The sequence below is a fragment of the Homo sapiens genome, chromosome 8 (assembly GCF_000001405.40).
Source record: "Homo sapiens chromosome 8, GRCh38.p14 Primary Assembly".
Taxonomy (NCBI): Eukaryota; Metazoa; Chordata; class Mammalia; order Primates; family Hominidae; genus Homo; species Homo sapiens.
In genome coordinates, this window is record NC_000008.11 from 39,771,264 (window position 1) to 39,783,767 (window position 12,504).

At 32.6% G+C, this 12,504-nt stretch overlaps 1 protein-coding gene across 6 annotated transcripts in view; it reads right to left on the reverse strand.

Annotated features, from left to right (window-relative positions):
- The window catches only part of ADAM2 (ADAM metallopeptidase domain 2), a 94,493-nt gene that overhangs the window by 27,529 nt on the left and 54,460 nt on the right, over positions 1 to 12,504 (reverse strand). For all 6 annotated transcript variants that reach the window (NM_001437784.1, XM_011544479.1, NM_001278113.2 and 3 more), the window contains one exon: positions 5,762 to 5,898. In NM_001437784.1, the coding sequence (NP_001424713.1) occupies positions 5,762 to 5,898 (137 nt within the window). The remainder of the gene's footprint in view (positions 1 to 5,761; positions 5,899 to 12,504) is intronic.

Here is a 12,504-nt window from a genome sequence, read left to right on the forward strand (position 1 = left end):
ACGGATATTTCCAAGCACACTTTAAAAATACCGCTTCCTTACTACCCTTTATTCCCCTTACTGACATTTGTTTTACTTCAGAATATTTACCAACAACTGGAATGTTACTAATTTAATCATTCATTAACTATCTTCTGCTAGTTCTTTTAAAGGAGTGCACTATTGAAACCACTTACTATAAATAATAAAGTTTAATTTTGTTATAATTTTGATTATTCTAAGTAGTATTAACAATGTTTAAAAAGATTATAATCACGATGGCCTATATTTTGATGGAAGACATTGTTAATAGGAATGTGATGAGTTTTAAGGTAATAAACTTGATGGTATCAAACTCTAGTCATTTGGATTATCACAAGAAAATGTTATTCACTCGAAGACCTCGAATAAATTTAGAATTTTTGAAAAAACTAACAGTGTTGGTATGACTTTTTGTGTGGTTGCATCCTGGCTGAACATCCCCTTCAGTTCCATCAACCTTAAATAATGAATTTATTATAAATTGCCAAGAATTCAAATGATTACTATCTAAATACAAGGAACCATATAGAAAAAAACTGATAGAAATTTAATATTACTGAGAACCAGGCAATGCAAGATACATTTACCATGTGTGAACTGGTTTATAGAGTATACACTTTCTGGTAATGAAATTAACATTGTCATTAGAAAGTCAAATACGGGAGGGATAGCATTAGGAGATATACCTAATGTAAATGACCAGTTAATGGGTGCAGCACACCGAAATGGTGCATGTATACATATGTAACAAACCGCACGTTGTGCACATGTACCCTAGAACTTAAAAGTATAATAAAAAAAAAGAAAGAGGGGAGAGAGAACGGTAAAAAAAAAAAAAAAGAAAAGAAAGTAAAATATCAAGCATAATTGCATCCGATTAGAGTACTTTTTTGCAGCTTGAATCTTCATGGAGATTTGCTGGATGCTTTCATTCTCTATTCTCTCACTTTTTTTTTATAATGGAGCCTCTGGTTGTTAGTTGAATGCATGACTTCATTGTACAATGTCTAAATTTCTCAGTTTTTAATAAATGAGTGAACATATATAGAAGTCAAATAATTGACCTAAGATGAGCCATAAGTTCAAGTTCTAGGAGGTAATGAGATAGACATGTTTTTGTAAGCTCCTTTATCCAATTGGTCACTTTAAATTTGGTTAATTGTTGTAATTAAAACTTCCATTAGGGATATGAGATTATTTTGGGAATGGAAGCCACTGTGTAGAAATACAGTGTGAAATTATACTGTGAAACATCACACAATTAAAAGAATGGTAATTTCTCAAAATAAACTTTTCTTTGATTGTAGCCATTATTCCTTTGTGTTTTCTGTAACTTGCAGCAAAATCTAAATACAGACTTAATCCCAATATAGATCTCAATCAAGATATTTCTTTATCAACCACATTTCAACCATTCATTTTCTCACCACAAAATTACAAAGTATTTGCAAAAGAATGAAATGTTCTAGTAACAATACAACACAAAATAAAAGAATGGAGCATCTTTTTCCTTAATCCATAATCAAAACATCAAAACATGTGTCTAATATTTTGTATTTTAAAAAAAGTACGATTCGCTAGGAAGAATATTAATATAACCTATATTTAAATATAATTTTGAAGGAATTACTACAGGCATCTTAATTACTAACTAAAAACAGAAAAATAACACCTCAACACATTCTCTCACTTTCTGTTGTACATGATGGAAGGAATCAATTTGAAAAAATGAAAAACAAAGAAAGACAAAACTAAACACAATTATTAAATAAGTCTCATGAAATTCAAAAGATAGACATCTAGAAAGTATATTTTTGGACCACAGCAGATATTAAATCAGATAACAAAAAGATACTTAGGAAATCCACAAATATTTGAAAATCAACTAACCTACATCTAAAATAGCTAGACAAAGAAGAAATCACAAAAAATTGAAAATATTTCAACTAACTGGAAATGAAACACAAAGTATCAAAAACGTGTGGTGTGTAATTGAAGGTCAAGTTCTAGGAACTTGTGATTAGAGAGAAATGCACAGCTTTAAAGGGTTTACACAAAAAGAAGGGAGGTTATTTGAATTTTTACATTAAAAATCTAGAAAAAAGATGAATAAACTTACCACAAACTAAGTAGAAATAAAGGAAAACAAAGTAGATAGGCCATGGGAAAGAGTCAATGTAATTAAAATATGATTCTTTAAAAAAATTAATTAATTTGATAAAATCTAAGTTAGAGTGATTATAAAAAGAAACTCAAATGATCAGTACCAGAGATAAAAGAGGGCATATCACAAATTATCCCATTGACTTTTAGGGGAAAATAAATGAAAGCTATAAAAGATTTTATGAAAAATTAATCAATTTTGAGGAAACAAAATATTTATTAGAAAAGGAAAAATAACCAAAATCTAAATATCTCAAAAATGACCAATTAAACACCTTTCCAAAAAGAGTTATCCAGTTCCGGACAGCTTCACTGATAAATGCTATCAAACAATTTAGAAAGAAATAGTATCAATAGTACAAAATCTCTTTTAGAAAGTTATATGAAGCCCGTGTAACTGTGATACTAAAACCAGTCAAAGGAATTGCAAGAGAATTACTACTAAAGATCTGTATCACTCATTAATATACAGGCAAATATACTTTGCCAATATTAGGGGAAAAAATCCAGCTACAAAAAGGATTAATACATTAAAAGGATAATTCCTCATTCCTTGATGCAGTTTATCCCAGAAAAGCAAGATTATTTAAACAATTAAACATGAATAAAATGTATTTCAATGTATCAACAGAATAAAGTAGAAGAAACACATGAGCATCTCAATATTTGATAAAATATATTCATAATGAAAACTCTGATAAATGAGGGTTACAAAGCTTTCTCAATCTGATTAAAAGTCTCTCTGTAAAACCTTCAGTTAATGTATTTATTGGTGAAAAGTTACAAGTCTTGCTCATAAATCAGAGTGAAACAAAGACAGCCACACATCAAACTTTTGTTTTAAATAGTACTCGAGGCCCTAAGCACTGCGATAAGGCAAGATATAGATGTTTTAAAAATATAAAGATCAAAAAGGAAGATGTATTTATAATATATAATTACATGTGAATACAATTCTCATGAGACTAAATTAGAAGTTCCAGAATAGAATATGTTAGTGTAGCAAAGCTGCAGGATACAAGCTCAATAAAAATTAATCAATACCATTTCTATATACTTGTCACAAACAATTGCAAATTTCATAGTCTCATAAACATGGTGCAATTAGAAAAACAATAAGAAACCTATTTCCAAAGGAAAAATAAAAAACAAAACTAAGGAACAGGTCCCAACCATGATGGGAATAACTTATCAGGCAACCTAACAAAATTACCTGTTTCAAAATTGAACAGAGAATACTTTGACATTATCCAAGAGGATGTGGAGGGCCCAAAGAACTTCTTATATTTGTGATTTTCTTATCCTTCCTATCTTTTCTTTACCATTACAACTATTGTAATCATTATAATCAACATTGTAAACAGCTATATTGTGGTTGAGATAAATAAAAGTTTAATGAATAATGCTCAACATTATTAATACAAACTATATAAATGTCATCTGTCTTTGTTTAGATTGGCCAGGAGAAAATACTCTAAAGCATGAACTTGATTGTAGGAATTTTATGTGGGTGGTGATTCTAGGAAGCAGGAATAAGGGTGTAAGGATGAAGAAAGAGAGGGGGAGGAAAGGTCGATATCAGCATGTATTATTGAGATGGCAATAATGACTTCTTTCTGCGGGGCCCACAGGAAAATGTACAGAATATCTTACAGAATTTTCCCTAGTTGGTCAGGAATCTGGTGTTTCACTAAAGTGGCTGAAGTTTGCTCCTAGAGAAGGAGTGCGTACATTTCATTTTAAGACTTTTTTTTAGAGTGTCCTAGGAAAAAGGCTGGTTGACATTCATAGATGTCAAAGACCTGGTCCTTGAGTGCTTCTTTTGAAGTAAACGCTGTTCTGGTGGAACTTGAAAATAAACATCTGAATGTGTTGTGCCCATTCTAAATAAATCCACATACTTCTTCCCTACACTTTCTTGTCTTTAAATGTCCAGTTTTATAGCATCTAGATCGTTCACCAAGTATCCAAGCTATTTGCCACAGCATAGGAATCTGTGTAGATTCCAATCTCTGGCACTTCTCTCATACAAGGTGGAAAACCCGATATATTGTTTACAAATATGTGCATGGGGCATGGGGACATTTACCATCCCCACAGTCTTTAGGTCTAAATCTAATAGGACTCTATATGAAACTGACTTTTAAAAAATACTTCAACTAACATATTAAAATTGGACTGAGGTTTGTTTTTCTCCATCAACCAGTTTTAGAAAATCCCTACAAGGATATTAGTGTATGGTGACTGAGAAATATTGGTGCAATAGATGTAGGTGACATGAAGATCTGGGATCCCTATTCCCTTATTTACTTGTACTCTCTGGACCTTCTCTAGCTTGCTCCCAGATTTACCATTTTGGTCATCAGATAGATTGATATGCTCACTTGATCTTATACATATATTTTTGTGGCTCTAAAACACCTCTTTTATGATGAAAACAGTAAACTTCAATAACATAGCAACTTACTATTTCCTAGATGCATGCTCAAGGCTGCAAGAGCCCAATAGCCCATTGGAAGCTATAGCAGAACTACAGGTCTGCACTGCAAATCTCCTACTGATACTTGCCAGAGATTCCACATGTATGTAATCTACCAGGAATATCCTTAGTAACATTGTATTTAAATAATCACAAGAACCAAAGACAAGCCGTCTTGCACCACAGCCTGGACCTGCTGCAGTGCACTTTTCACATTATCTTTTGCCAGAGGTGCCCTTGTTGCTATCAGATCATGTATTGATGTAGGCCCACAATCCTTTCATAAAGGTTTGTTTTCTAAAGCCACTCTGGGGTAACTATTTTAGGACAGGTCCCCCATCCCTGCCACCCCAAAAATCAGAGCCTGAGACAAGAACTTAAGCACAAATATTTTAGGGAGCAGCAGTGCGGGAATGGAGACAGTGAGATGTTTCCTGCTGCAGGCAATGAGGCTTGATTCTCTAACACATCTGAGAAACAAAGAATGCCTCCAAGAATATCCATCAGAAAGATAAAAGGCTGGCTCCAGTTACTGCCTGGTTTCCTTAAATCCCCTGGCTATTTGATCGTATTTCTACAAACATTCATAATGTACTATAAGAATAATGTTGATATCAGCAAAAAAAATTCACTAGATCGTTGAGGCCTGATTAGAATACTGCAAACGACTTTCTCTCATGACAAAGAAAAAGCTGAATGGCAGCATCTCTGAAATCAACAGATGCTGAGACTTCAGGCTGAACCAAGGCAAGTTGAAGGAGACTCATGCAGACAAGTTCATACTAATAAATACTTTTTGTGTAGTGATCTCAAGCTTGCATTTGGCTTATCAAATTATGCATCAAATTGTAAAATTATACAAGTAAACATATTGATAAATGTAGTGTTAGATCACATGTGAGAAAGCCAGTGTGACATTTGATTACAAGTGATATTGAGATAAATATGCATCGTGGGCATTGGAATACACATTTTGGTCCTGGAGTCCTCAGTCACAGCTGATCGCCATTATTATTTAACAACTTAAACTTTCTTCAACTAAATACATTAAAATTACATTAAACTATATATGTAAAGTATAAAAGTCAGAAATCTTACATTGCTTCTGGATTCATAATGCAGACAGCTCCTGAGCACTGGCATTTGTTAATGTCATCATAAGTGATCCCCATACTAAGGCTCAATAATTGAGCTAAAATAACTGCAAGTGATTCCAGACTTATGGTTCTGGGGTGCTGAGAAAAAAAAATAGATGTACACGTTTTGGGAGATTATTTTGTTTACTGGGAGAACAATGCAATTATTAAAGATCACATGATAAAATGGAATAGGGGCATCTGTTATCCCAAAAGTGCCATCCTTGTTGGTCTAACTCATTATAAATGTAAGAAAATTATGAAAAATAAAATCTGAAGTTTTATCGGTATGTAAATGGATGACTCATTTGGTGGCCTCAGACAAAGAAAAAAAATTGCCCCAGGAATTTGTTAGCTATGTCTAACAACAATTACAGTCATATTTATATTCACAAAAGATAATATCTAAAGATAAATGCATAGAAAAACATAGTGTCAAATTATGAAATTTGGTCATTACCAGAGGCTGGGAAGGGTAGTACAAAGTGGGGGATAAAGAGGAGATGGTTTAATGAGTAGAGAAACACAATTAAATAGAATAAGGTCTAGTATTTCTAGGACAATAGTGTTACTTCAGTTAACAACACTTACTGTATATGTTGAAATATGTGAGTGGAATTGAAATGTTCCTAATGCAAAGAAATGATAAAGGCTTGAGGTGATGGATATTCCAATTATCCTAATTTAATCATTACACATTGTATGCCTGTACCAAAACATCACATCTCCCCATAAATATGTATAACTATTGTGTACCCATAATAAAAATTAAAATTAAAAAAATTGATTCCTCAATGATAATATTTTATATAGCCATTTCATAAATGTTTTTATAAACTCATAAGTTAACTCACTGAATTAATTAATATTACGGTAATAATGACTGATATAAGAATTCTGACTTTTCAGTTGTTTCAATTTTATTGGGAAAACTAAAATATATAATTTATATTTATATAATTTTAATATATAATTTATATATTAATTATATATTAAATTATAAACATATAATTTAAATTTATAACTTCTCTTTTTGTAAGAGTAAGATGCTTATTATAGCACATTTTGATCACACTATAACATGAATTTTGGGAAAAATCCACATATCCTGCTACCCCTTCAAATATATCTACTAACATTTTGATGAATATACTTCATGATAGGTTTCTAGGTATACATTTTGATTTCTTCTGTTGCCTCTCTAAGTCAGTTTTCCATCATTTTCTACCTTGCCCTCCACCCCAAAAAGATGACACAAATGGATTATGTCAGAGGGATGCTTTGCCCTTGAGTTTTACCTTGATTTTTTCTAATGGAGAGAAGAGAATGAGATGTGAATGAAAGTGAGGTATTTACTACATCATTGCAAGGATGCTTACGTCTCTTTGAACCCTTGATGGGACATCTACCTTCTGTCTGTGACTCTGATAAAATGACTCTCTTCCCTCCATCAACACTTGGTACCAATTAAAGTTCTTTATTACTTGTGTGGAGGTACTGCAAAGGCTCTACATTTTGCATGCACATGGATAAATACTCCATTTATCAAATTTCCACATTTTAAATGTATCATCTGCTTTCAGAGAGACAGTGTTAGGAAGAAGAAGGAGGAGGACGAGGAGGAGGAGAAAGAAGAAAGGAATGAAAAGGAGAAGGAAAAGAAGGAGAAGAAGGGGAAGGAGAAGGAGAGAGAATGATTCTACAGGGAATAAATTGAAGGATTCAGCTAAATTTCAAGAAGCTAAATACTGTAGTAGTATATTAATACTGGTACTGTTATTTTAAACCCCCTATTTTTGAGATATTGTAGAAAAGGCTTACTGACCCATAAATGCATCTTTATACTTTTCTCTTTTTCTCCTGTTTCCTGTTATCTCTTATAATTCACTAAGATGGAAACAACAAGATCCAGTGATTTCACTTTAGGCATTTGTATAAAAGCAGGGTTTTTTTTTTCCTTCATGTTCAGTTGCTCTTGCCTTCCCTGTATTCTTACTAGTACATATATTTTTGATCTTTCCTTTTATTGTATTTCCTTTCAAAGACACTTTCAAATGTCTTTGATCATTATAGGATCAAAATACCAAAGACTTGATGGTTTAATCAAGAGAAATTTATTTCCTTGCAGTTCTGTGAAATTTCGCAGTTCTAGAAGTCCAAGATCAGGGTGCTGGCAGGGTTGGTTGGCATCTGCTGAGACCTTTTTGGCTTGTGATAGGTTGCCTTCTTGCTGGCCTTTCCTCTATGTGCGCATGGAGAGCCTTATCTCTGCTGTCTCTTCCTCCTCTTCTATGGACAGCAGTCCTATTGAATTAGAGCCCCCCACCATGACCTATTTAACCTTTCAGGTCCTATCTCTGAATATAGTCACATTGGAGGTTAAGGCTTCAACATATGAATTCGGGGGGACACAGCTCAGTCCAGACTAGTATAAAAAAATTTTAAAGATATGGAAAGCAGTAAGAGAATTTCCTACAGGTTCTTGTTATTATTATCTCTGATTTGAAAGGCAAGTGACAATAAAGCACAACTATATTTAACACTGAATTTAAAAAATATATATTTAGGGACAAAAAATTTCAACAGAGCAGACAATTTTCTTTTGGTGAATATACCTGTTTAGAACCATAGTTTTCAAATAATAACAGCAACAAGCATTTATTAGGCTTCTTATATGCCAATCATCAGACTGAGAAATTTGTAAACAAGTGGGGATTTATTGAGACTTGTTTTTTGCATAACATGTGAGCATTCTCTATAAATGTGCCTGCCATATAAGTTTTTTTAGAAAAACACTCGTCTCTAATTTTATGTATCAACATTCTATCTATGCCTTTTTTTTCTTTAATGAACACATGTTATGTTTTGTTCAACTCATTATTTAGTCAAGAAACTGGTAAGATGTTCACGCCAATTCAAAGAGTGTATTAGTCTTCTCTCATGCTGCGGGTAAAGACATACCCAAGACTGGGTAATTTATAAAGAAAAAGAGGTTTAATGGACTCACAGTTTCACATGGCTGGGGAAGCATCACAGTCATAGTGGAAGAGGAAGGAAGAGCAAAGGCACATCTTACATGGTGGCAGGCCAGAGAACGCGTGCAGGGGATCTCCCCTTTATGAAAGCATCAGGTCTCATAAGACTTATTCACTATCACAAGAACAGCATGGGAAAGACTCACCCCCATGATTCAATACCTCCCACCGGGTCCCTCCCATGACACATGGGAATTATGGGAGCTACAATTCAAGATGACATTTGGGTGGGGACAGAGCCAAACCATATCAAAGAGCATTTGAGAAGCTAGGAGTATATTAATAAACATGTTAGGATAGAATTGTAGGTTTTAGATACAAAACTGATTAGTGTTTTAGAGAATAATGAATAATAATATGTGGGTTATCTCATCCACCAGAGAGAAATTATTTGCATTTCTACCAGACAAAAATCTGCACATTAACCTCTGCCACCCAATAATTGCAAACAGCCCAGTCAATAGAAAGTCAAGTCCAGAATATCATTGAAAGAACACTTAATAATTTATTTTGCCTATATTCACAGCTGTTTCACTGTTTGCATTCTATTTCAGTAGATTTTTAGAATATACCTACATATATGTTCAGGATCATTATATAATGCTACTAAGATTTTGTTTCATCTTAAGTAATAGAAACAAAATACATATGGATTTTTATTTAAATAATATTTTGCTGCTTTATACTAGTATTGATATATAAATTATCCTATGGTTGTTATTTTTTGGTCTTTCTCTTACCCTTTAGGGGTTAAAATTCCTGTGATATTACAAATGGGTTTGAAACTTGTAGAGAAAATGCGATCAAATAATCTTTGCCTTTTACAGTTGAAACTAAAACATTGTTATCTCTTTCAATTATTGCCCTTTGGAATTATTATAAAGCTTGTTTTGTGTGGCGCTTTCATACCTTTTCTTTTTTTTTTTTTTGAGATGGAATCTCGCACTCTCGCCCAGGCTGGAGTGCAGTGGCGCCATCTTGGCTCACTGTAAGTTCCTTTCATACCTTTAAAATAATGTTTTGGATTTGATACAGTTTCATATACATATCAATGTGTGTGTTTATATGTTTATGTGTAGTTATGTACCCATATGTACACATTCATGTAGGTATAATTTATGTATACTTATGTGAAAACACATATATACACATGTATTGGGGAAGTGCATACGTGTGTACTTGTGTGTGTGTGCGCATGTGTGTGTGTGTCACATGAACCTGTATAACTACTACTTTGTACTAGACACAAAATATTTTCATCACTCAGGAAGTTCTTTTCAGCAAGTTTCCAGGCACTACCTCCACATAAAATAGAATCTTTATTTTGATCTCAGTACAATGGCTTATCTTTACTTGCACTTTAGCTTCATAAAAATGGCACCATTAAGTATTTATTATTTTATTTCTGGCTAGTTTTTCTAAAAATATAGTTTTGGAAATTCATTAATTTTGAGTGTAACTGTACTTCTTTTAATTTCTGTGTAGTGCACTACAGGATATGGATATTCCACAATATGTTTATGAATTTGATGGATAAAATGCCTCAATATTGTTGATACTAATCTCTCTTGATCTAAAGTTTCCATAAAAAGCAATAAAAATCAAACAGTTTTGTTGAAATTGCAAGCTGATTTTAAAATGGAAATGCAGAGGACTTGGAATACCTAAAACAGTCTTGAAGAATAACAGACTAGTAGGGTTTACACTACCATTTTTGATGTTTCACTATCGAGGTAGAGTCATTATGACAACGTGGTGTTGGTGGAAGGACATACAAAAACACCAATGGTCATAAAAGATTCTGGAAAGAGGCCAGCGATATGGCGACTTGATCTCTATTACAAAGGCACAACTGTATTTATTTGGAGGAAAACTAACCTTTTAAATAAGTTGTTATGAAGCAATTACCTATCCAATGTGAGCTAACTGATTCTGTCCCCTATTTTACACCAAACAAATTTCTTTAATGTGGATTATACATCTACATTGAAAGGCAAATCAATCAAGCTTGTGTTAGAGGATAGAATAGCTTCATGATCTTAGAATGGGCAAACATTTCTTGAAGATGTCTCTTTTTACATTAAGTTTGCTGAGAGTATTCAATCTTGCTTTTTTTTGTCCTAAGTAGGTTCTAAATTTAACAAATGTATCTTCTGTATCTATTTTTTAATAAAGTAGATTATAATGATTGATTTCAAATATAAAATTCATCTTGTATTCCTAGAATAATTTCTATGTGTTCACCATGTCATACTCTTTTGATATATTGCAAAATTCTTTTTGTTAACATATAGTTAACATAAATCTCAAATCATAAAACAAGGTGAGAATTAGCCCCTCCTTTTGTATTATCTAAAGTAACTTATTACAAGCATTAAATATTTTGGAGCCATTTTTTGGAAATCATGTGGGCCTAGATGTTTTGTTTGTTTTGGAGAAAAGTGCTTTAATTGGAGACTCAACTATGCCAATGGTTCAATGGTGATGCAGATTTACTTTTCTATTTAATTGAGAAAATTTATTATTCATAAAATTTTATCCATATTTATTGCCATTAATTGGTTGAGGATAAGCCGTCTTATATGTGTAATGTCTATATGATCTGTGGTGATCATGTCCCTTTATTCAACTAATATTTGGATAATTTGTTTTTTCAGCTTTTTTTGAAATAAGATACCCATTTTGGTAGGTTGTTATAACTTGTATATATCTTCAAAAAATTAGTTTGAGCTTTGATGATTTTCTTCATTATATTTTGTATTTCATTGATAGCCAATATTATCCTTAAAACTTATTTCCTACTTTATAGCGTCTCTTAGCTTAACTCACCATCTATAATGCTTTTTGGAGATGGAGTTAGATCATCTACATTCAAACTGACCTTATTTTTATTTATACATTAAAGCTATAAATGCACTACCTCTCAGCTCTGCCTTTTTGGGATCCCATAAGTTTAGATACCCTGTATTTTTAATGTCACTTAGCTCAAAATGAGTTATCTCATTATTTTATTTGCAAATCTTTCGAGATTTTTAAGTGATATTTCTATTAGTTGGTTCTCATTTAAATCCACAATGCTCAGACACTTTTCTCTGTAAGATTTCAATCATTTAATATTTATTGATACTGCTTTATTTCTCACCATATTATTTGCTTTGGTAAATACTCTACATTAGCAATGTTTCTCTTTGGTATAAGATTTTAGAAATATATATTTTGATAAAATGAAAAAATACATTGCTGAGGTAGGTTGTTTTTTTCCATTCTTAAATATGATTATGGACCTCTTTTTCCTTTATTCTCTCACATTTGCTCTATATATTTTGAAGCAATGTAATTATATGCATACAACATTATGATTGCTATCTTCCCCTTCATCATAATTAAATATTCCTCATTATTTCTTCTAGAACATCCTTCCTTTAGACTACTGCTATGGACCAAATTGTCTCCCTCCCACTCCAAATTCTTATGCTGAAACCGTGACCCCTAACATGACTATATCTAAAGACGTATAATTGTCGCATTGTAACCCTTGAATATATATGATGTTTGTCAATTAAATATTTTAAGGCCAGGCACAGTGGCTCATTCCTGTAATCCCGGCACTTTGGGAGGCTGAGGCAGGCAGATCACAAGGTCAGGAGATCGAGACCATCCTGGCTAACAT